This window comes from Homo sapiens, chromosome 14, assembly GCF_000001405.40.
Source record: "Homo sapiens chromosome 14, GRCh38.p14 Primary Assembly".
NCBI lineage: Eukaryota > Metazoa > Chordata > Mammalia > Primates > Hominidae > Homo > Homo sapiens.
In genome coordinates this window covers 96,832,728-96,859,443 of record NC_000014.9, presented here as the reverse complement: position 1 = coordinate 96,859,443, position 26,716 = coordinate 96,832,728, and the positions used below count along the sequence as shown (strand labels likewise).

Here is a 26,716-nt window from a genome sequence, read left to right as displayed (position 1 = left end):
AAATGTCCACTTTTGCCATATCCCTTCAGTATAACAGAATAGTTATGTGTACTTTTAGCTAGTACGATAGGAAAATAAATAGAAGGCATAAAGAGTGGAACAGAAGATGTAAACCAGTCTTTATTCACAAACAACATAATACTACATGTGGAAAATCCTACAGAATCTACAAAGAACTACTAGAACTAGTAGATACATTTAACAAGGTCGTAAAATGCAAGGTAAATATATAAAAATCTATCTTATTTCTATATACCAGCAAAAAGCAATTGGAAAATAAACTATCAAAAAATACCTAAAATAGCATTAAATACTTTGCAACAAATACAATGAAAGATGAGCAAGAGTTTCCTAGAGAAGACTATAAAACACAGTTGAGAGAAATTAAGACAGACCAAATTTAATAAAATATATACCATATAAGTGGACTGGAAGACTCAACAGTATAAAGATGTCAGTGCTCCCCAAATTGGTCTACAGAGTCAAATTCAATCCCAAGGTTCCAGCAAACTTGGAGGTGGGTGAGTGTGTGTGTAACTGACAAGGTGATTCTAAAATTTAAATAGAAATGCAAAGGGCAAAGAATAGCAAAGTAGCAAAGTCCAGTTAAAGAAAAGCAGTGCCAAAGAATTTCAACTACCAGATATCAAGCTTTAAATAAAGCTACAGTAACTAAGACAGTGTGGTCCAAGAACAGGCAAAAAGGACAATTGAAAAAAGAGAGTCCAGAAACAGGTGCACAGATCCACACATCCACACTTGACTGATGACAAACATGACAACAAAGGGAAAGAATGGTCTTTTCAAGAAAGGCTGCTGGGTCAATTAGATATAAATATGGGGATAGGAAAGATACATGACCCCTCCTCAAATAATACCCAAAAACCAACTGCAGGTAGACTATACATCTGTATGCATAATTGGCAAGCTGCAACTGCCAAAAATTGGAGACGACCTAAGAGCAGAATAAATACATAATGGTATGTAACTACAATAGAATATCATATAGAAATGACAATGAGGAAACTACTGTTAAACATACAATAATAGGGCCAAGGGCAGTGGCTGATGCCTACAATCCCAACACTTTGGGAGGCTGAGGTAGGAGGACTGCTTGAGCCCAGGAGTTCAAGACTAGCCTGGGCAATATAGTGAGACCACATGTCCACAAAAAAAAATTTTTAATTAGCCAGGTGTGGTGGCGTGTGCCTGTAGTCCCAGCTACTTCAGAGACTGAGGTGGGAAGATCTCTTGAGCTCAGGAGGTCAAGGCTTTGAGCTCAGGAGGTCAAGGCTGCAGTGAGCTGTGACTGTGCCACTGCACTCTAGCCTGGGCAACAGAGTGAGACCCTGTCTCAAAAAAACAAAACAACAACAATAACAAAAAAAAACATGCGATAATGGGGATGAATTTCACAAATACATTACTAAGTGAAAGAAAAGGACACTAACAGAAGTAAACAATAATTTCAAGAGGACAGGAATTGTTACATATTTCATTCACTGTATTAACTCCATTTCTATAAATTTTAAACACAAATATTTGGTGTTGGAAATTAAGGTAAGTGACTCATTCGGCCAGGAGGGAGAGGCTACTGATTGCTATGAGGTCCATGGGATAATTCTGAGAAACCCACATTGTATTTATTGATATGGGGAGTAGGTTGCAATTTTAAATAGCATAAGGTCAGGATAGACCTCCCTGAAAAGGAGACAACTGAGCAAAGGCTTAGAAAGACTTCTGAATATATCCAGACTGACCAATTCTCACTCTTTGGCTGCTACTTCTCTTGCATGGGTTACTGCAGTGGCCTCTTAACCTGCTTTCTGCCTAGGCCCATCCTTGCTCCTTCAGCAGTCCATCCCCATGCCAGAAGCAGGAGACCCTTCCCCTCAGGATAAGCAGTTCATGTCACTCTTCTACTACAAACCTCACACTCTTCCTTGAAGTAAAAGCCAAAGCCCTCATGTTTACCTATGAAGACACAGTCCTCGCATCTCCTGGGCACTAGTGTCCCTTCTGCCTAGAACTCTCTTCCCCAGACTTCTACACAGCTCACTCCCTCCCTCACCTCCTTCCTACAACTGCTCAAATGTCACCTTCCAAGTGAGGCTGTCCCTGGACAGCCTACTTAAAATTACAGTCCTCCTCACTACTTTACTACCCACCCCATCCCCATCCCCCTAATTCTATTCCCTGTTTTCTTCTAGTTCCACAGTACTAACCAGGGGGAACATATAAATTTTGCTCATGTGTTTACTGTCTAAAATCCTCCAACTACAATGCTAGCTTCATGAGGGCAGGGATATTTGTTTTGTTCACTGATGTACCCCCAGTCCCTGGCACACAATAAAGCCTCAATATTTACTAACTTAATGTATGAATGAAATTTGCTTCCTTTGCTAAAAGCACTGAATAATAATTGAATGAGGCTCAAGTATTCATTTAACAAACCATCTAACATATTTTTTTTTCTGAGACGGAGTCTCACTCTGTCACCCAGGCTGGTGTGCAGTGGCACAATCTCGGCTCACTGCAACCTCCGCCTCCCGGGTTCAAGCGATTCTCCTGCCTCAGCCTTCCAAGTAGCTGGGACCACAGGCGTGCGTCACCACGCCTGGCTAATTTTTTGTACTTTTAGTAGAGATGAGGCTTCACCATGTTAGCCAGGATGGTCTTGATCTCCTGACCTCGTGATCCACCCACCTCAGCCTCCCAAAGTGCTGGGATTACAGGTGTGAGCCACCATGCCTGGCCACCACCTAACATCTTACATTAAGGGCTATTCCATGGATATCATGCCTTTTTATCCCCAGAAAACAAAATCCCTATTAACACTGAAGAAGTCATTTCCTACCTGGTTTGTTTTTCTCAGGAAAACATTTGTCCATCAAACTTGCAATATTTTCTCTGTATCTGTTAAAAATTAAAGAATGAGTCACTGAAGCTTGATGTCATATGTTAATATGAAATAAAAATATATAGCACATTAAGCTATATTGTGCTACATCCTAAATATGCTTACAGACATTTTTCTAAAATAAACAAAAGACCAAGGAACCTTACTGTTTAACAAGTACTTTCTTATTTCTATATCAGTATCAGTTGAAACTATAGTTCCTATCAAGAAATTGTGACTAAAAACATTTGGCTTATCATGATTTTGCTAGAAATAACTTAAGTTTTCCTTTACCTAATTTTGGAATCTCTAACATATTTAGGATCTTTCAAATTATCCTCCCAAGGAAGATGGCCAGTAAGCCATTGGATCATGCAATAACCAAGTATTTCCAAATCACCACGTCTTGATGGGGCTACAAATGCAAGAGAAGAACATTAGGTAGACTGAAATAATTTTTAATGTATAATTTAAAGTATATATAAAGTAATAACATAAAACAAGTCAACTCCACAGTCTGTTTTTCATCATAAAATTTTGACTGCATTTCACCTAGGTACTGAACATTGGACAGTATAAAAGAAATAGCTTACCTCCCAATTAACTTCTAGCTAATAATCTACTTTAAAACCCAAATTGGTAAATTTCAGGGTTTCAAGCGGAGACTGTTAGTCTAGAAATAAAACTAGTTTTCCTTTGGAAAACTTGAAGATATTCTTAAAATTTTTATATGCTATTAAGAGGCCCAGAGAACTGGGTATTTGAGTTCTTCCACAGCTTTGAGCACAGAAGAAATGACTGCTGAAGAAATAAACTAACTTAACAGGTAACAAAATAAAAGTTAGCTGTTACAAAGTTGTAGATACATAAGAAACTTGAGAAAAAACACAAAAACAAACATTCCAATTAAACTAAATAAAACCAAAAAGAAATCCTCATGGCAGCTGAATGAACCACTACCACCTTCTTGGTTATCTTTGAAGGCTGCGAGGAAAAGGCAGGACAGAAGAACACAGATGGTCCTGGAATACAATTGTAGGAGTCTCACCTCTGCCTTCTTTCCTCATGCCACTGTGCCTTTTCAATTTTTATTTATCTATTCATTTACTTATGCATAATTAAGAACTATGTAGGAATCTGGGTGAAAACATTAGCAGTCTATTTCTCACTCCAGTACTACTGACATACCCACGCCATTGTGTGCATCGATGCTCGTGAATTCAATAGTGCCATCGTGACATCTTTTGGGGTCTTCTTTGTATTCTTTATGAACTCCTTCTGGGCAGTACCGATAAGCAAGGCCATAATCTACCAAGTACACCTATAAATTTCCAAGCACCAAGACAAACTAAAGTCAAAATCACTGCACATATAACCCTTTAAAGCACAGAAACAAAATACTGGCATCTGAAGGTGGGTTCACCTACAAGGTCATTCCATAACACTCCAAACAATTTAGATCCAAAATGCAAACAACAGCAAATACTTAATTCTGAAAGGCTTTTTATTTTTAATAAAAATGTTAAATGACCACATAGCTACAGTGTAATCACTTGACTTTATATACTTTTTTAAGATAAGTATATGTTATACTTGTAATTAATCTTGTCTCAATTTGAACGAAAATTATACATTTTATACTTTATCTTACAGACTCTAAAATTGAGCACAGAGCAAACCGTCAATACTTGTTGCAATACAACTGCTACTTTCCACACAGAAAAGCACACCCAGTAGAAGACTGCTAATGATGCTGACACATGATATGTTAGTTACCTTCTATTCCTCTGTTTCTTCACTTGTAAAATAATCAAATTTCAATTTACTTTATAAAAACATTTCATACATCATAATAATGATCTAAAGAACTGTTAGATCAGGCTTTTATCTATATCTAAATACTATATTCTAAAGCCAAGTCTTCATGATTAAAAGTAAATTTTAATATTATATACATACTTATTCGTGGGCATATACATGTGGGTCTGATTAGCATACAAAGCTAATAAACTTGGCTTTCTTCCATTCCATAGCCACACATTACATCTCTAATTCTGAGTAAATGTCACAAATGCATGCATCTGGGCACAAGAGGAAACTGAAGTAAAAATATGTGGCTAGATCTAGCACATACATCTAACACTGGAAAAATAATCCCATCCAAAGCATATGTCTGAAGGATAACAGAGCTGCAAAAATATTTCCATATAAACAAAGGCAGCATGTTTTAGTCACCTACAAAGTGATATAAGTTGTATTTTATTATACTGTACAAGTCCAGACTATTTCAATTAATGGAACCCTTATTGTTCAGGTTGTTAGCTGCGTTTTCTTTGTTCTTAGCCTAGAAATATCTAAAAAGAAATGGCTAGAAAGAGCAGAGATGAATTTGATGATTGCCTTTTTAAGATTTCTCCATTAGCACACTATCTTAATAGTATAGTAACTTTCTTCTTTTATACTTATATAGATTCCCTTCTATCCACCATAACTGACATTGGAGGAAGGGAAGCAAATACGAGACGACAGAAAAAGAAAAGAGAGCCAAAGGAAAAAGGAAAAACTAAGCAAAGGTAGTTAAAGGTACATTTGAGAGAAAGAATGAAGTACAGAGTACTGACAAATAATTACAATAATCAAAGTACCCAAACACATTTAAAATGTTTAAATCTTCCTTTTTATGTAAGATCAAGTAAGAAGTGAGAACATACATTAAGTATGAATGTCAACTAAACCTTACTTTCACCGAAATCACAGAAACAGTTATACAGGAAAATTGTATAGATCCCTCTACTTCAACTAAACTGACCTAAATAAAGGTATAATAACATTAGCTTTTCTCCTTTCCTTAGAAAGTAAAAATTACAAAGGGAATGTAATAAGCTAAAAAAAAAATGCACATTTGAATTCCAAACACTAAGGGTATACAAATTTAGACAGCTAAGATATTTCTGTAAACCAATTGATTTGAATAATCAACATGTTAAAGACCAAATTTTCCAAGTAATAGAACACTTACATTTGATGGATTTCTTGAACAAAGGAATAAAAAAAGTGACAAAGCAGACAGGCAAACATAATTCATTGGTGTACTATATAATTTTAAGCTTCCACCCCCAAATAGCTATTTGAAATTCATTTTGTATCACAAGCACTTCTTCTGAATATTATTTAGGGCAAAATAGCCAACTTGATAAAGTGCCAACAAATCACATCAAAAATGTAGAATGTTAACTAGATCAAAGTGTCAAGAAGAAATATTATTACCATATCTACTTCAAAAAGTAAAACTTCTACACAGGTTCAAAAGTTCAAAGCAACCATATTTATTTTCAAACAACACGCTTTAAATAGTAGAAATTAAAGTTATAAAACTACCTGGTCAGGATTCTTGTAGTTCAGAAGAAGATTTGAGGCCTTGATATCTCCATGCACATACTCATGCTCGTGAATATATTCCAGAATATCCAGCTATGAAAGTATCATACAGAATAAGTTAATGCAGTACCTAACACCAGCCAGCAGAGGACCAAGCTTCAACATAAACTAGCCTTTACTGTACTCAAAACAATTTTTTAAAAACAAGAAGAACATAGCTCACATACAATTCTTAAGCTTAGCTGCAAGACAGTTTTCCGAGAAAACCTTTTGGCATTTGCTTCATATATTTTCTGAAGGTCACTCCCAAAGCGATCCATTATCATAAACCTGTAACTGAAGACAAATATGAAAAGCCAATGAACAAAATACAATGCAAGAAAACCAACTTTGTAATGAGTACTCTCAAAGTAATTTTTTCAAGACAATGTTTAGTAAAGAAGTATTCTTTAAAAAAGAAATACAAACATTTGAAACAATTTCTCCCAACTAGAAATCTCAAAGAGTTCAGAGTGCTTTCAGGTCCTGCTTTTTACCTGGAGGGCCTCTTCCTGGTCGCAGCTAGTTTCAAGAGACTATTCAATTTAAGATAATGCTCACAGAGAGAACCCAACAAGTTTATTCACGGTAAAAATAAAACAAGCTGAATAAAAATGACAGCATTGATTTTTCTCATAGTTAAAATTAATTCATGTTTCTGGATATCAGCTTCCTTCCTGTGACTGTTTCTCCTTATTTTTAAGGTATATTTCAGCAGTAACAACATTCTGCTAAAATCAAGATTCTCGTGAGATGCTTTAACAAAAGCCAGATTCAATACCATTGTTTAAATGGCGTAAAAGGATTGTACATTAAACACTCAATGGCCAAGATTTGGGGAAAAACAAATATCCTGAAAAAACATGAAGATAACTGGCTTTGCATAAAGCAGCTATGTCACCTTGGCTGAGTCACATTACTTCCTGGGCCTCAATTTCCACAGAAGTAAAATGAGAGAGCAGGGACTCACCCTTTCTAAGGTCACTTTCAACACCCAAAACTCAGATTCAATAATCACGTTATATTTCAGTATGTACAGAAAAGCATCACCTATTTGCAATAACACTGCTTAGCTTCTGCTCTGAGGACCACTTTTATCTTCAATAGTTTTCCAGATTCTAACTTGTCTGGTGAAATCATTCAGTAAATCAATAAAAATCAAAACCACACTCAGAATGTATCAGGACATCTCCAATGAGGAAGATTATGAATCATCAACACCATAACATCTAGCATTTACTGAACACCTGGTATGCACACAGCACTACTGTAAGTACTTAAAACGTTATTAATGCATTTAAACCTCACATCACTCTATAAAGTAGGTAACTCCTATCATACCCATTTTACAGCAGAAGAAAACTGATAATTTGTCCTCTAGTATGTGGCAAAATCATGCTTTTAACCCCTGTACTACATATTAACTGAAATAAATGTCAGTAGGATACAAAAATCCCATTTATATGTTATAGGCTTCTATGATAACAATATGACAAGTTCAATAGGGAAGGAAGAGTTGACTAACATTAAAAGACAAGATGTTGAACAAGTAACTCAGAATTCTATTCATTTTTGAACTGGAAGAAAATTAGAAAATCATCTTGTCTAAACATCTTTTAATAAATAAAATAACTAAGGTCTTTGGAGGTAAAGTGATTTGTCCAAGGTTATAAAATTAGTCAGTGGTGGCCGGGCCTGGTAGTTCACGCCAGTAATCTCAGCACTTTGGGAGGCCAAGGCTGGTGGATCACCTGAGGTCAGCAGTTCGAGACCAGCCTGGCCAACATGGTGAAACCCCGTCTCTACTAAAAACACAAAAATTAGCCGGGCACGGTGGCAGGAACCTGTAATTCCAGCAACTCGGGAGGCTAAGGCAGGAGAATTGCTTGAACCTGGGAGGCGGAGATTGCAGTGAGCCAAGATTGAGCCACTGCACTCCAGCTGCACGACAAGAGCAAACTCCACCTCAATTAAAAAAAAAAAAAAATTTGTGACAAAATATATTCATTCATGTAAGATTTCCTAGCACCTTGGCTTGTAAGATAATAAAGTGAAAATGGTAACTTTGACTTCCTGGTTTCCTTTGTGTAACAGATTTTGCAAGGTTGAGAGATGAGACCAGGGCACATATACATGTTGGCTTTTACTAAATAGGTGATGTGTGTAATGATTATAACATAGGATGAGCATCTCAAATCTGAAAATCTGAAATCAGAAGTGCTCCAAAATTAGAAAGTGTTTTTAGTGCCAACAAGATGTTCAAAGGAAATGCTCACTGGAGCATTTTGGATTTCCCATTTTCAGATTTGGGATGCTCAACCAGTAGGTATTAACGCAAATATTCCAAAATCCTTAAGAAATCCCAAATCTAAAATACTTCTGGTGCCAACATTTCAGATAAGGCATACTTAACCTGTAATACACAGGTAACAAAAATACAACCTCTGTAACAGCCTGAAAGGTGGCTAAAACACAACTGCTTAATTCAACATGGGGTCTATTAATAAATTCTGTTACATAGGTCTTTGTTTTTATTCACAAATCACCCTACCACTACTCTTAATAAGACCTTAATCTTGTCACCATACCTAAATCATAAACATCAACTGAAACATGATTCCACAAATTTCACAGAAACCATTACCACATTCTTCTGGAAAGACGGCTCTACCATTGAGTAGTAAAATGAAAGCTATTTCTAAGTAACTCCTCTAAAGTAAAACCTTTGATGTATACTTTTCTGGAGACTTGGATAAAATGTGCAAGTAAAAGAAAAATATAAATCAGTGTAAAATAATTTAATAATGGTAGCAGCTAACATTGCTCTAAGCCCTACATACATATTAATTCAAATGAGTTACAAGGAAAACTAAGCATGTCTGGCATGGAAGGGGGCTGGAAGAATAATCTACTTTCTATTTCTTTACTTTCTAAGACCTATAATGATTCTTTTTAAGAGCTTCAACCTAAAAAGTAAATCAATGCCTGATATATGACTAATGCCATCTTTTTAAAGGAGACATTTCTAGCAACCTCATTTTATAGAAGAAATGGGCTGGGAGGTAAAGTCATCACTAGTAAGTGGTGAGTTAAGACTTAGACTGTGTTCTCATTTGTCACCACACTCTAAGGCACTTCTGATCCACACCAGGGAAGTTCTTTCCAGCAGTGCCCAAGTCAGTCAGCTTACAGAGTCAACCTTGGACCCACTTAGTCCCTGGTCACCTCACAGGAGTCACACAAACAAAAGCCCTGTTTAACTGGTTCTGAACTTTATCATAAAATGGGTGATAAGAATGTATATGGTAAAATGTGATATGACAGTGTGGGCTACTTTTAAAAAGACCATCATTCTCAAGCAACATACCACCACTGACAAACAAAAATCATAGACAAACAAATGAAACCAATTATGATAATCACAGTGATGATGACTGCAAGAAACATTTCCTCAGCACTTACTCTGTGCCCCTTACAATTTACATGTTTTCAATTCATCTTCACAGTAATTCATAAAGTAAGCACTATTATCCTCATCTCACACATAGGGAAACAAGAGAGACAGAAAGTTAACTAGCCCATGACCACACCTGATGGAGTCAAGTACAATCAATCTAGTGCTAGATTTGTTTGGTGTTTAGGTTTTGCTGCAATATACCGTGCTTGGTTTTTTTTTTTTAAGACGTTTATACTCAAATTATGGAAAGAGGAAAAGGCTGTTATTCCAAGTCTAAAAATGCTCTAGCCCCAGGTACACTTTTCTTCCAATCATCTCTATGAAATGTGGTTTTCATAATGTACTGTTCCTTAGGAATATAACTATTGTATACTGGAGCACACAGTCAAACAGATTTGCTTCCTAGCAAGTCATCACTAAGGGTTTTTCTTGTCTTACTCCCCTTTAGACAGTCTTTAATTCACCATGTAAGCCATTTCCCAAATGCCACTTTCACCACCATGTCACCTCATCCCTTGCTCAAGAGCAAGTGATAGCTTCTGACTACCTACTATACATGGGTTCCAAACTGTTCTTTCCTCTATGGGTCTTCATTATCTGCCACCGACTCCTTCTCCAAGTTTATTTCCTTCTCTCTTACACACATGCCCTCTTCCTCTGCTACAGGAAGACGGCCATTGGGTCATACAGTAGAATAAAAGTCTATCCTGCCTGTGCTCACGTTCATCTCCCACTTAAGATGCTGTTCTGCCTCTTCAATGATTTTCTAAACCAGTAGGTTTTAACATTTAAGCGATTAAAGACCCCTTTGAGAGCAAAAGCTAACATCTATGTTTTACATATACTCTTGTAGCTTTATACTAAAACATCATTAAGTGGGTAGCTGTTACTCCATTTCACAGATGAAGAAATTAAAGCAAAAAATTGCCCAAATTCACACACATTTTAAGGGGCAAAACAAGGTTTTAAAACTAGGCAGTCTAGCTCTAGAATCCTTGCTCTTAACTAACTTAACTAATCCTTATTCTATAGTATTTCTCCAGAAAATATTATAAAAACTATAATATATTTTGCTATCCCAGCAAAACCATATAAAATAAAATGTTAAAAGTGACTTCAGGGATCCCCACACTCCCTAAGAGAGGCATGGATCCCAAGTAAACAACACTGGCTGCCTACCCAACTACTTACCCCTCCTCTCAATCTTTTCTAACGGAGCACCAATTTGGTTCCGGCATTCCATCCTTTTCCACATGGATCGCTGTGATCACTTTGTCCTTGCCAGTCAATGGTTTAAGTATTGATAAAATTCTGACCAAGAAAACGTGAGAGAAAGTCTGCCACAGGGCTCCTGGGAAAGCTTTCTTTGCCAGGAAAGTGAAACTCACAACACACGATAGATACCATTTTCTGCCCTTGGGTACTGTGCCTGCATGTGAAGCCTAGAAATGGAGCAGCCACCTGGCGACCACACAATGGAGAACTAACAGAGAACAAAACCAAGAAGAGGAGGGCAAAGGTGCAAGATAAGGAACCTGGGCCCTTGATGACTGCCTGAGTCAAAGTTTTCCTTTACTTGCAGCTGAAATCATCCTAAGCAATATATCCCCAGTTCCAAACTAAATCTACCCGTCAAGTCTCAGCTACCAAAGCCTTACTCCATGAAGTTCCATTCATTCATTCAAATATGTATCAAGTGCTGCTTATGAACCAAAGTATTAGAAGTTTTCTCCAAATAAACTATCCCAAAGAATTCATTCTCTCCATTCTCTGAACTCCTAAGACACGTAAGTCAGTATTATACAACTTAGCACTTAATTGTTCTCTAATTGTTTCAAACATTTTTGTTTTCACTCACCAGCTAGACTAAAACCCTCATAAAGGGTGAGCCTAATCTTGTGTGGGCAGATTATGTATCCAACATTTCTGTGTGGGCAGAAATACCAAATGGAATCCTGAAGGGGTTCCCTTTTGCATGAAGAACAGAGGCGTTTTTGTTTGTTTATTTCTAAAGGCAAGGAGGAAAAAAAGGCAGGGTGTTTGGCTTTGTTCCTCCTTGTCAGTTGGGTTCCAGTCAGTTGATACTGCTCTGCAGAAGCTCCCTGACTAGAGAGGCACTCCTATTCTAATAAGGCATCATAGCCTGCTGCTATGGAAAGCAGAGGACAGAGATAACATCTTATTCCTCTCTGTCACATACACTCCACATACTCCAGAGGGAGGCCTAGTAATATTGTAAGTGATCAGTAAATAATTACTGACTAAACCAACTAAATAGTGAATGTTGCAAAAGGGAAGGAGAAAGACAAATCACACATATTTTTACCTTTTTCCATTTTTGTCATGTAGACCAGACCCCCAATACTTAGGAACACCCAGGTACTTCAGCTTACGGGTACGAATCCATTTCTGAACTACAAATTAAAACAGATCTTTGTGATTTCAATTGTTATACATAAATGATAATTTTTTAAAAAATCATTAAGAGCAAAATGTATTTATACATGCAATAAGAATTCACCTGTATTCATAAAAAAGAAAATGAAGAATACAGTATAACGAATAACGAAAAGCATTTTACGATGAAAACATTTTTATTAACCTACAAAATTGTTATCCTGCCCTTAAAATTGTCTTTAAAATGAAAAATCTACAAAAAGCATTTTTTTTAAATCAAAACTACAGTGCAGTCATTCCTTTGTTCTAGGGGCTTGGTTCCAGGAACCCCCACCCCTCAAGACACCAAAATCCAGATGCTCAAGTCCCTCATATAAAATGGTGTAATATCTGCATATAACCTCCACACATCCTCTTATATACTTTATCTCATCTCTAGATTACTTATAATATGTAATACAATGTAAATGCTATGTCAATAGTTATACTGTACTAGTTTTTTATTTGTATTATTTTTTATTATTGAATTGTTATTTTTTATTGTAGCTTTTTTTTTTTTCTGGAATATTTTTTATCCCTGGTTGGTTGAGTCTGAGGATGTGGAATCTGAGAATACGGGGGTGGACTATCCTGAAGTTGCAGTTTCTCTCTCTAATTATGTAATGTTTACTTGCTTCTACAGGAAGACCTATTTTTCATACCAATCTAAAAGGTTTTTCTTCCTCAATATAAAAGTCCTCAACCAGGAAATCAAGATCTAAGAGACATGGAAGAAGGACAGAAGGGACCAAAGTGACTAGGAGAGGTTCTGGCTCTCTACCTTGATATCCTGTTCTATTTCATCAATAATTCTCAATGTTTAACAATATTTCCTAAATCATAGGTCATTTATTATTAACTTCATTCTATGTATCTATATAGATAAAATCTTGATGCAACAAACCCATTAAAAGACCAGAATTCTTTCACACAAATCCCATGTAAGTGGAATTTATAAAGCAAAAAAATAACAAAGAGTCATAAAATAAGATACAATGCTCTAGGTCTTGGCTTAAAACAAAAAACTGGTCATTTTAAAAGTGTAAACGTATGTGTACTGTATTTCTTACTTTGCTCTGGTTTTGCAGCTCGTTGGTAGAACTTTAATTCAGTAAAAAGAGGTCCATTGTCACTGGGTTCCTTAAAATATAAGAGTTAATTAGTACTAGCAGTAGTTAAAATTACTGAGATATTTTCAATGAACCTTCAAAAAAGACCAACAAATCTATTTTTCTGTCCAATGTAATTTTGATACTTAAGTTTATAACTGTGTTAAGATTAAGTCAAACTCCTTAGAAATGTTCAGAGAAATATTAGTCTATATTTCTTATATTGCTCAAGTTCCATTTCTATAAGTGATAAATTATACAAAATCAGATATATAGCTCAGCCTGCAGAAGTTTAAGAAAAATGTTTAAACTAATTTTCATCTTTATTAAGCTTTCCCTTAAGCAAAGATGAGCAATCATCTTAACTGTATCACCAAGGGGCTATAAGATATTTCTCAGATTTAATAAAATTTCAATACCTAATTTAACCAATTAATGCCAAAATCCCATTCCTTTCCTGTTTTCATTACACTTATATCTACTTTATCAGGACTGGCAAAAACAGACCTTACCACAAAGAAGAGCCCATATTATGCATCTCCTGAACAAGCATGCACTGTCCACTAACCTGCATCCTTCCTTTCTGACACAGATTCCTACATTTGTCAAACCAAACATGGGGCTCATTAACAATTGTTTTCTACCAATGTTATGGACTACATTCATTTTATGTTTTTAGAGATATTAACAATTAAAATTATTACTAAAGAGACATACATTCACAAAAACGTATTTGCACAAACAAGAAATAACAGCCTGTCAGCAGTTTTGCCTTGTTAAATAAATATGTAAGAGTGGAAAAGATCTTATAATTCTGTGGACTTTTTAAATAGTAAATTTCATCTGATTAAAATTAGTATTTATTTAATGTCTGGTATTTTGTGTTGGTCATTATTTATTGGGAATTAAAAAAAGTTTTTAAAGCAGTGAAAACTTCAAATGAGGAAGCTAACATTTCTAAACTAATTTTAGGGTTGCTTTTCTTTTTAGGAGGTATGAGAAAAAAATTATTTTGGGCAGAATATCTTGGTTAACTGGAGTTCAAAGTTAAATAGAGCATTGGGGGAAGTGAGTAATGAGGCCTACTACCTTAAATGAGTGACAACTTATAGTTTTGGGTTGCTAGAGATGACTTTTGCAAGCACTTAAAATATGTTCACCTTTTCTTCACTCAAGATACCCTCAACTGTAGAAAACCACTCCATACTCTCTGCTCTAATTATCTCAGATTTCTTATAATTCAGAAAATAGGAATCCCCAATTAAAGTACTTAGAAGAAGGCCTGGCATAGTGGCTCATGCCTGTCCTGTCATCCCAGCACTTTGGGAGGCCAAGACGGGCGGATCACTTGAGGTCAGGAGTTCAAGACCAGCCTGGCCAACATGGTGAAACCCCATCTCTACTAAAAATACAAAAATTATCTGGGCATGGTGGCGAGTACCTGTAATCCCAGCTACTTAGGAGGCTGAGGGAGGAGAATCACTTGAACCCAGGAGGCGGAGGCTGCAGTAAGCTAAGATCGTGCCACTGCACTCCACCCTGGGCAACAAAGCAAGATTCTGTCTCAAAAATAAAAATAAAGTACTTAGAGGAAAACGGATTAGCCAATCTGCAGACTCAGGCAGTTATTAATGAGCATTTAACAGTAAATGGGCAACACACATTAACACTTGGATCACAACCTGAAAACAAGCGTGCCTTATTTGTTACAGGTAAGTATACTTTTCACCTTAACCTTGGAAGACAGTAGTATCATGGCTTGGCATGCAACAACTCCTTAAGAAGGAGGAACTAACCAACATACTGAAAGTATGAGTGCTGATTCCTTAACTTATGGACTCAGTACCCAAGTTCCTCTATAACCTATGGCTCCTTTCCTAGCAGCAATAATAGCTTGACACTTGCAAGCATTTGCAAGAGACACTTGCAGTGTTTCCAGCCAATGGCTAAGAATAGGTCTTTGGTAGGAATCACAGAATCAGCGTTAAGAAAAAGAAATTCAAAAGGAGAAATTCTGGTAAAGTTCCTCTCCAAAGCTTACCTTTGGAATAGCTCATTTATATAATTCAGGTTTGAAAGAGGTTTTCCTAAGACAAATCAGTATAAAATTCTGATTTATTCAGTTTCAACCTATGTCATATCAACTTTAACTTTCAAGTTTTCCTTCAGGCAATAATTTATTAAACCTATAATAATGAGAATCAACCATATAAATCAGGCTATTATAATGAAAGCCCACTACAAGGAAGGCTCTCTGAGCTCATTTCATACTTCTTCTAATCCAATAAACTTCCATTATCACAAAATAAAGGAGCTACTTCCTTGGCATTGCACTCTAGCCAAAGCTAGCTATTCCTGTTGAAGAAAATACCTTAACTCATAACTAAAATTTTATTAACATATTTCAAATCTAAAATACTTTGCCAACTCTATAATAGCCAAGATTTAGAAAAGAAATTGGGACTGACATTTTAACTAGAATATCACTAAACGTTTCTTTAAGACTTCTAAGTGTCAAAATGAAGATGACAACAGAAAAAAAATTAAAATGTGATATATTTCAATGGCACCAGCTAAAAGCAACTGGCTGCCATTTAAAAATGAAGCTGTACAAAATTTCTCCTTCCTACCAAAAAATTATGATATATGAATTAAAAATTCAGGTCACTTCTCATAACATCAGTGAGGAAAATCAAACATCAGTCTGCAAACTTCTTTCCAAGGAACTGTGAAATACAGATTCTTATCAGTTCACATCTGAAAAGGACCACAGTACAATGACCTGTTAGGATACCATCCAAAAGCCTGACCTCTGCCTCTAGTTCTGCTACTGACATGACTAAGGGTAAGTGCAATTCAAAGAACTACTAATTTCATATTAAGTCTGTCAGCAAGAAAACACAAAAGAAAATTTCTTTCTCCTTGCATTATCCAACATTTCTCCTGCACAGTTACTTTCAGAAATAAAATACAGTGTCTGTTCTGTAGGTCAAGGATTAAAGCCCCAACCAAAACCAGAGACCAACATTTGGTACATGTGAGAACATTTTTATTATGTGCCTAACATCTACCTTGAATGGGTATGTCTTAACTTCACTCCAATGCCAAATAAGAGATTTGTGGGTTAACTATCTGGAGCTGTTTCATAAGGCAGATACATGTATTATCAGCAATAACCAACTTTTTGACAAAGCGTCCACATTAAGTTAGAAACCCTTACCAGCAGCAGAGGGTACCTGCACACCCTTACTGAAATCAAGGATAAAAATGTGCCAGCCACAAGATTCCATTTAAAATAATTAAGGTGCTCTGTGTGCCAGATTCTACCAGTGGCTCTCAATCTTGATGCACAAAAGAATCACCTGGGAAGCTTTACTAAAAATACCAATAACCAGGCCCTACACCCAGATTCTGATCATACTCTACAACCAGGATTGAGAACCACTGTGTGATATGCTATTACATTATTAAGTAAAATTTCACATTAGAAAATCAATTTGCCTTTATTTCGTAACATTTGCAAGTTTTTTCTCTAATGATAAAATAATGCTCATTTTAGAAAATATGGAAACATTTTGATGTATTTTCTTCATAAATAGCCATTTTATAAGACAACCTTCATACTATATATAGAACTTTGTATCCTGCTTTTTTAGAAATAATTATAAAACTTCCCCAAAGAGTAGTACATGTTCTTTGAAAACACGATCTTTAATAGTCCATAATGTTTTAAATGACAAATGTTCATAAACAGTTCTGATTTTAATACCAGAAAGAACTGATGCTCATTTTACATGTTTGTTATTTGGTGAAACATTTCAACTATTAATATTAGAAAGTTGTAAGAAGGCAAATTATGAGTGGGCCTGCTCTCTATGGTACAGACAAGACAGGAAAGTGAATGACATGAGGAAGTTGAGAGTAAATGAAAAGAGTAGTATAAAGGCAATGGACAATTAATGGCTAAAAAGTATTCAAAAGAATAAATGAAATAAGCTTCTAAAGACTGCATAGGGAAAACAAGCTTTATTGACAAGGTCCTTATCAGATAACTTAAAATTCAGTTAGAGAGACAGAATAAACACATTTAAAAAAACTAAAAACAACTAGTGGCATAAGAAGAATGAAACTGTAAAATAAATGTTAATACAATGAGTGCTGTAGGTGTTTATTCAGGAGAGAGTGCTAGGGGAAAAGAAGCAAATAGAAGTTACAAATTTCCCCTTCAAAGGGAAGGAGAAAGTCAGTAATATTACTGTTTTGTTTTATTTTTGGTATTTTTTTTTTTTTTGAGATAGAGTCTCACTCTGTAGCCCAAGCTGCAGTGCAATGGTGCCATCTCAGCTCACTGCAACCTCTGCCTCCCAGTTTCAAGTGATTCTCCTGCCTCAGCCTCCTGAGTAGCTGGGATTACAGGCAGGCACCACCACACCTGGCTAGGGGTTTCACCATGTTGGCCAGGCTGGTCTTGAACTCCTGACCTCATGTGATCCACCCACCTCAGCCTCTCGAAGTGTTGGGATTATGATCGTGAGCCACCGCGCCTGGTCAGTAGTATTGTTTTGTTTATGACATTCTTCTAGGATAACTGTAACATCCAAAAAGTTACTAAAATATTAAATGCAAAAGAGAAATCAACTGAGTATCACTGTCCTAATTACAAAGAGAAGAAGTAATAAAGGATAATGGAAACAGAACTAAATTAGGAGACAGGAGATACACAGTCCTGAACTAGGTACTTGGTCTTAAACTTAAAAATATAATTCATTACCTTAAGCATATAGAAAATACTGTTCCTGGCCATGTTTTTTCTTAACTATATAAGTTAAAAAGGCAGTAAAAGTAAAGTTACATTGACTAACAACAGAAATACTTCTAATTACTCACAATAAAGAAGAACAACAGAAATATTTCTAATTACAATAAGGAAGCACATCATTCTAAGAGAAAATACAACTTAAGTTCAGAGGCCATGTGCCATGGCTCATGCCTGTAACCCCATCACTTTAGGAGGCTGAGAGGGAAGGATCACTTGAGCTTAAGAGTTTGACACCAGCCTGGGCAACAAAGCAAGACCTCATCTCTACCAAAAAATCAAAAAAATTAGCCGGGCATGGTGGTGCGTGCCTTTAGTCCCAGCTGCTAGAGAGGCTGAGGTGAGAGGATCACTTGAACCCAGGAGATCAAGGCTGCAATGAGCTATAATTGCACCAATGCACTCCAGCCCAGGCAACAGGATGAGACACTGTCTCAAAAAAAAAAAAAAAGTTCAAGTTATACAGAACAAAAAAGACATGATTATACACTGTTCCACCTTTAAGATATGACACTGGCACACTTTCCTTCCAAGACACAGAAACAGCTATGCCAACTAACTGCAAGGGGTCAGAGGTAACCATATCATTTGAACCTCAACGTTATGAGACGTCAGAAGGAGACTTGCTTTCTTCTCACAACAGAACTCCTAATGAGCCTAAGAAGAAACTCATCTTACCCATAGATTTTAATATTTTAATTTGTATTATCAAAAACAAATGCACACAATATTCTGCAATTAAATACAAATGACCCAATTTAATACTAAGAACTTTAGTTCCTCTGATTCAGCAACAGGCTGAATATTCCAAAAAGAATGCTATTCCATAAATGAAGAAGAAGAAAAATCCACAATGAAAGGCCATCATGAAAAGAAGCAGGAGAAATAAAGCACTTTGACACAACTTGAAAGGCATCGCTTTGCTTCCGCTTCCCTGCACGAGGGAATAGCTGGGACCCAGTTAGCCCTCCCACTGCAAACAAAGATAAAAACAGACTTAAAAACAGAAAATTTCTATTTTCAGAAATTAGACAATGGACAGGACAGGACTGTGACCCCTAAGAGACAGAAAACAAAGTGAGTCCATGGCAGCCCTGGCTTTTTTCCCCTAGAGATCCTAGGAGTAAAATGGAGGAGACTTAAGCCTGCAGGGCAAAAGGGGGAAGACCAAACAGAGTGCCAGGTACAGAACTCTGCTACCAAAATCAACAATGAGATTGGAAATTTTAAATTGAGAAACAGTGGGGAAAAAAACGAAAGACCAATATCCTTCACGAACAACGACACAAGAATCTTTAACAAAGTATTCACAAATCAATTCTAGCATTATGTAAAAACTATAATACACCATGACTAAGTGGGGTGTATGTTAAGAATACAAAGTTCGGTCAACACTCAAATATCAATCAATGTAATTGCCACATTGACAGAGGAAAGGAGAAAAACCCTGTGATTCATCTCAGATGTAGAAAAAGCATTCAAAAAATGAATAGGCAAACTATAAACTAGTAGAAAATGTTTAAAACACGTATCTGAAAAAGGACTTGCATCCAGAAAAAAACTCTCTTACTATTCAATTATAAAAAGCAAAACAACCCAGTTATTTTTAAAAGATAAAAATAAGAGGAAAGGGGCAAAAAGAATGGAAGAGGCACTCCACAAAGGAAAATACATGAATGGCCAATAAGCACAACAAAAAACTGCCCAAAATCATTAGGCAACAAGCACGTGCAAACTGAAACTATAAGTCACATCTACATACTAACTGTAATGGCTAAAAAACAAATACACACAACTGACAATGCCAAATGTTGAAGAGGACACAAACAGAACTGTCATATATTATTGGCCAATGTGTACAAGGGCACAACCATTTTGGAAATCTGCCTAGTACTTTCTTATAAGTTTAAATAGACATCTTCCCTATAAACCAGCAACTCAAAGTATTTATCCAAGAAAAATAAAAACCTGTCTCCATAAAAACACTTGTACAAGAATGTTTATAGACGCTTTATTCATAATACCAAAAACTGGAAACAACCTCAATGTCTATCAAGAGAGCAATAAAATGAAACAAATGATTGATACACCAACAATATGGATGAACCATTAAAACGTTATGCTGAGCATAAGAAGTTACAAAACAATATATACTGTTTAATACCATTTACATAACCTTCTGGAACAGGAATAACTCATTCACGGCAAAAAAAAAAAAAAAAAAACTCAAGACAAGTGGTTGCCTCCAAGGGTGCAAGGGAGTAGGGTTTTGACTGAATAAGAACATAAGGAATCTTTTTAGTATGATGGAAATGCTCTACATTTTAAGAGGTGAGGATTACACAGGTATATGTGCTTGTCAAAAGTCTTCAAACTGTTCATTTTATATCTATGTATTTCCCCGTAAAAATCATGCCTCAATTTTTTTAAAAAAGTTTAAAAATCACTAAAAAGGTCCAAAAAAGCTGACTCCTAACTCCTAAGAGATAAAATATAAAAGAGAGTAAAACGAAACAAAATGAAAACCTTCAGAGTAATTGTAATTCCTGAGTTCTGGTTGATATGGTTTGGCTGTGTCCCCACCCAAATCTCATCTTGGATAGTAGCTCCCATAATCCCCATGTGTCGTGGGCGGGAGCTGGTGGGAGGTAATTAAGTCATGGGGGCATCCCCTTCATATGTACATCTATCCCATTAGTTCTGTCCCTCTAGAGAACCCTAATACATGTATCCCGTAGAGAAAAAGTAAGGGAGGAGTTATATGTTAATTTGCCCAGATAATACATCCTGTTGGTTCTTCTATTTAACCAAAACATATTCTTCACATGTATCAAGTAATTTTGAAGAAGGGGAGTAACAAATGTTGGTAAGCAAAAAGGCACATAATTGACTTAAAAAACGGTAAAATGTCTTCTAGTTCGCCAACATATAAATGGATCTGGCTATTAGAAGTATGCTTATGTCAGATAGGATGTTGCCAATCTTTACTCATTACAAACTAATTTCAACATTATTATAGCAAAAAAGGCCCAATAATCACAATAAAATAAATAATTTAATTTACTAAAATGGAAGAAAATTGGGAACAGAAAAAATTGACCAAGTAGAAGTCCAGAAGCAAATGCAAAATAAAATACAATAAAATTATATTAAATTAGTATAGTCTTATAGGATATAAATATAAAAAGTATCCATAAAAGTAGCTGAAATTTCTTAAATGAGCTGAATATTTTTATTCCACATCTGCATGCCTTTATGCTTTCCTTCATTTACCCCCGAATACCAGTGCCACTTTATTTCAAGAGAGGAACTTTTCACACTCAAGTGATTTAAAACTATAAAGCTACTTTTGTGTCTTATTAAATATTTTTTAAGTTATTAAAAATGTAGTATCTTATGGTTTAATTAATTCTAGTTAATCAAAAAAGGCATTTTACAAAATACTACACCAAATCAACAGAAAAGAAACAAATTAGCTAAAATATTTCTTACCACTTTTACAACACAAGGTGCATCACTGCCAACTGACTCTGAAGAATTCATATCAGCTGTTTAAAAAAGTAAAATATTTGATATCAGAACAAGTAATATTATAAATATATTAATATTTAGGTTTGTATATCTGTAACCCTTGATAGAATACACTTCAGTTCCCAAGTATGTGTTTCAGGATATCATTACAGTACATTTCATAAATTTTAAGACTTTTATTCATGTTTTAACATATCTGAATTGAGAATGCATCTTACAATTTCTGGTTTCTTCTATATGATTATCAATTACATATGGGAAACTGAGTTAAATAAGTTAAAGATTTCTTTAATTCAAAAGTACTAATAGCCTTTGATATGCTAGTGGATATTGTGAATTCCCCAGAGGATAAGTAATACATTTCTTAAATTTAATAAACTATGAAATTCTTTTAAGAGGAGAGGAGCATCTGAAGAGTAAGAAATGAGGGGGCTAAAGTTCTAAAAAGCACTAGTTTAGGAAAAACTCACCTGAACCAATAGTTCAGGATGTTGGCACTAGAACTTTCAACTGCCATCAGAATAATTTTAATGTGGCTATCATTTTATTTCATGTAAATAAAGAAGTACAGTTGCCCCAGAATACTGAGTTAGAAATATAAGGTTGCCCATATTCATTAAACAGATATTTACCAAGTACATACTAAACGTCAGTTTCTAGGAAATAGAGATTTAGCAATGAACAGGAAAAAATCCTTACTCTTACAAAGCCACCATTTCAGTGGTAAGATGCAGACCAGAAATAAAATATGAAGTACATTTGACAGTGTGAAGTGCTATAGAGGACAAATTAAGCAGGAAAGAAAGGTAAGCAGAGTGGCTACATGGTAAGAGGGATCTAAACCTTACTGACAAGGTGTTACTTGAGCAGTGAGAGCAGGAAGGGAATAAGCCATGTATGTATCTTAGTGAAGAGCACTCCAGGGAGAACAGCACCAAGACCCTGATCTGGACTGAGCACAATGGCTCACACTTGTAATCCCAGCACTTTGGGAGGTCAACGCAGGTGGATCACCTGAGGTCAGGAGTTCCGAGACCAGCCTGGCCAACAAGGTGAAACCCCGTCTTTACTTAAAATACAAAAATTAGCCGGGCATGGTGGTGGCACGCACCTGTTAGTCCCAGCTACTTCGGGAGGCTGAGGTGGGAGAATCACTTGAACCTGAAAGGCAGAAGTAGCAGTGAGCCAAGATCATGCCACTGCACTCCAATCTGGGCAACAGAGCGAGACTCCATCTCAAAAAAAAAAAAAAAAAAAAAAGACCCTGATGTAGGAGTGTGCTTGACATGTTTGGAAAACAAGGAGGCAAAAGTAGCTGGGGGAAACAGTGAGGCAGAAGAGGAGAGACAGATCAGAAAGCAGCAGGGAACAAACACGATGGGCTTAACAGGTAACATAAAGGTTTTGGCTGTCACTATGAATAAGATGGGGAGCCATTGGAAGAGGGTTAGCAAAATCAGACTATGGTAATAAAGACTTCTTTGGGCTGCTTTGTGGAGAATGGAGTATAGGGGCAAGGGGCAGAAGCAGGCAGATCAGTTAAGAGGCTATACCAATAGTCTAAGTATATGGATTATACCTCAGTAAAGCTACTAAAAATTTTTCAAAGGCTTGGTACAAAAACAATGTAAAATAAAATATATTAAAAAAATTTTTAAAGCATCATATACAAAGATCAAGAGCCAAAGGGCAGCAAGACGGCTGAAGCACAGACTTTGAGGAGACAAAAGGGATGAAGATAAACGTTGTATAAGAAGGGACTTGTATGCCACTCTTTAAAAGTCTGGCACCTTATTTGAAGGACACTGGAGAGTCATCAGAGAGGTTTAAACAGGATGATCGTATTATCTGATCAGTATACTTGGTCATAAAAGCCATACTGAAAACAATGGTGTGCAAGGTGGCAAGACTGGGACAGAGAAGATTCAGTGCTACAGTCAGAGTCCAGACAAGACATGATAATGACCTGACCAGGACAGTGGCTGCAAAGATGGAGAGAAATGAATGGATCTGAGAAGTCACCCAGGTAAAGCAATAGGACTAGAAAAGGAACTAGGATATTAGTGAAGGAATGCTCAAGAATGCCTTCCCAGTTTCTGGCTTCAAGGCTGTCATTCATTGAGACAATCCTCATGACAGGATCAGGAGATAAATGATGATGATACAAGTTTTAGAAATGCCTGTGGAACATCTAAGTAGAGATCCCTTATAGGCCAGTGGCTACAGGCCTGGACTCAGGAAATCAAGTCCTAGGCTACAGATAAAAGACAGGGAAATCAACGGTAAAGAGACAGCAGGAGAAGCCTGATATCACTCAGAAAGAATATATAGAATAAAAAGTGAACCTAAGAAGAAAAGCCGGAGCACACAGAAGTGCCTATAAAGATGACCAAGTACAGCCAGAAAAGCAGAAAGAAAACTAGGAAAAAGGTATGCTACCATAAAAGATAATGGAAGCAATTGTTATGAGAAACAAAGATAAACAGTATCAAATGCTACAGAAAAGAAAATGCAAAGAAAATTCAAAAGCAATCTTTTTAATTCATTAACAAACTGCTGATGATCTTGAATCTGGCTGTTTCAGTGTATCATAGAGACAGAGACTGGAGGCGACAATACTCAAGCAAGTCCCTCCTTTTACAGATTAGTCATCCCAACCTTACAAAAGTAAAGTTTTATTACAGAGGTCAAATCATTGCCTATTAAAAATACTATTAGATGGCACCTTTTGATGATAAATACAGATAAAACAGATGAGACACACACAGGGCAAGTTTTAACTTTGCAAAAGGTTACAAAAGCAAATTAATATAAAATGAAGAACCTATTTTTTTAGAGACAGGTTTCTATTAATACAGGATGGCATAAGTCCACATATCCTGTAGTAAAGACAGCTTATCTAATCTACCATCTCTCCTCCATCACAAGATCAAAAATATATACCTGGCTAATACAGCCACTACTCTTTAATGGTTTACAGGGATTTTTGCCATAAATCAGAGATACAGCCTAGTTCACTGGAATGGGTTTGGCTCTAAACAAAACCAGAGAATCAACATATATTTCACAAAAAGGGTGCCACTGGCCAACAGGAATCATATGCATAAAATATGATAAAGCACTAGATTTCAAGCTATGTTTCATAAAGATAGCTCCAGAAACTGCAACTGACCAAGGGCGGCCCACTGCTCCTGGAGCAGGTGAAGTGGGACTCCTCTTGAGTAAGACCAGTGATCTTTTACCAACCAGTGGTTCTCAAACTTCAACATGCATCAGAATCACCTTGAACAAACACTGCTGGGCCCTCTCCCTACAGTTTCTGATTCGTAGTCTGAGGTAAGGCTCAAAAATCTGCAGGTCTAACAAGTTCCCAAGTGACACTAATCTATGTCGTATTATTAGTATTCTGAGTAAGATATTGCTAAAAATAAAATTTTATAAACCTCCATGGTAGAAATTAATTAATTAATCTGAGATTGGAAGTAGAGTGAGAACACAGAATGGAAAAGTTAGAAAAATCAGAAGCAAATATATTTATTGGTGAAGCAGACAGCTTTAGAAGCAATCAGGTAAAATATTTTTTAAGTCCATAATTTAGTTAACCTAACATAATTTCAGGATTCCACAACGGGTCCCCAAAAATTTCAGAATAAGTATGCTAGTTATCTGCACATTTAATCAGGCCTAATATGCAGTTTCTAGGTAATTCTCCTAGTTCCAGTATGATGGCTAAGAGGGTTGCACTGAAAGAAAAAAGAAACTCACACTTGTAAAAGATTTGCAAACCTCTAAATCAGACAAACACGGAGGGAATAAATCCCACATAGGTGGAGGTGGGAGGGGAAAGATACGTAAATGGGTTTCTTTGGGTCTCAAAAGAGATTAAGATTATATAAAGTATCTTAAAAATCTAAAGTCCTAGTGCTCACTAATGATAGTATTACAGCTATTTTATCCTCCTTTTCTGTTGTGACTGCATTAACAATTTCCACTCCTACGTCAGAGATGCATTTTTGCTTAATCAGAAACTATTAAGTTGACTGCAGATTATTAGGAACATCCCATAACAGCTCATAAATGAGAAACCATTTTCATAAGAAAACATATAAATCTTTGGATTGATCATTAGAAGCAGTCACACACTTACCAAGATATATACAGCCAAAGCCTCCTTGGCCAATGGGTAATCCTACTTTCCATTCCTTTTTTGCCATGTCAGTTATTATCTCTCCAACTGCAAATTGTTCTGCAAGATGTCTCTTTGCAGAGCTCTGTCTTCCAGCTTGAGCTGCTTTTACACGAGGCATTTTCACTATAACATAAAACAAAGAAATGGTCAGAATTCTAATCTTAGAAGTGTTTAAAACATTTTTCCCTAAGGAAAACTTCCGTACGGAGATGCTGTTCAAATTCCTACTTACTCCAAAACTTAAAGGATACCTGTTAATTCTGACTTATAATGGCTCAAATCCTATTTGATTATCTCTTAACTTTGGAGAAGAAACAATAAAATCATATATGCAACTATTTTCAAGGAAATAATTAGGTTTAAGTCCAATGGCATAATGATCAACTACAACTAAAAATGCTATTTAATAACAACAAAGAATTGCTCTATGAAGCTGAGAGGGAAAGGTGCATCCAATTAGAATGCACATTTTATAGGAACAAAATGAAGAGTTTATTAAGGTCAATACCGATATGATAGAACACAGTGCAGAGATTGAAAACATAAGGCAACTGAGCACAAGGGGAAGGGGCAAAGGTTCCCGGGACATGCTAGTAAATGCTTTACACAGGTTCCCATCCATCCTCATGACTCTGTGAAGATTACATTATCACCTCCATTTCGAGGAAACTAAGGCTCAGCAAGCTGGTAAGTGGTGGAACAACAGAAAATTGCACCGGTGACCACCTGGCTCCAAGACCTCACCAACATGCTCCACAATTATGGAAGTCACTGTGAGGAAGGAGCACAACTTTCAAGAGTGACAGGAAAAACTGTGGCTTAATCATCTGGGCAAGGCTGGTGACACCCAGAATTCCTAAGC

At 36.2% G+C, this 26,716-nt stretch overlaps 1 protein-coding gene across 10 annotated transcripts in view; it reads right to left on the bottom strand.

Moving 5' to 3' along the window:
• Nucleotides 1-26,716, bottom strand: part of VRK1 (VRK serine/threonine kinase 1) — an 84,228-nt gene that overhangs the window by 22,166 nt on the left and 35,346 nt on the right. For 9 of the 10 annotated variants that reach the window (NM_001411051.1, NM_003384.3, XM_047431755.1 and 6 more), the window contains 9 exons: nucleotides 25,813-25,977; nucleotides 21,627-21,682; nucleotides 13,280-13,349; nucleotides 12,100-12,187; nucleotides 6,505-6,613; nucleotides 6,278-6,370; nucleotides 4,088-4,220; nucleotides 3,194-3,314; nucleotides 2,858-2,916 (listed from right to left, as the gene is read on the bottom strand). In NM_001411051.1, coding sequence (NP_001397980.1) covers nucleotides 2,858-2,916; nucleotides 3,194-3,314; nucleotides 4,088-4,220; nucleotides 6,278-6,370; nucleotides 6,505-6,613; nucleotides 12,100-12,187; nucleotides 13,280-13,349; nucleotides 21,627-21,682; nucleotides 25,813-25,972 — 889 coding nt within the window. In that variant the 5' untranslated portion in view covers nucleotides 25,973-25,977. The remainder of the gene's footprint in view (nucleotides 1-2,857; nucleotides 2,917-3,193; nucleotides 3,315-4,087; nucleotides 4,221-6,277; nucleotides 6,371-6,504; nucleotides 6,614-12,099; nucleotides 12,188-13,279; nucleotides 13,350-21,626; nucleotides 21,683-25,812; nucleotides 25,978-26,716) is intronic. The other variant, XM_017021626.3, reaches the window with a different exon arrangement.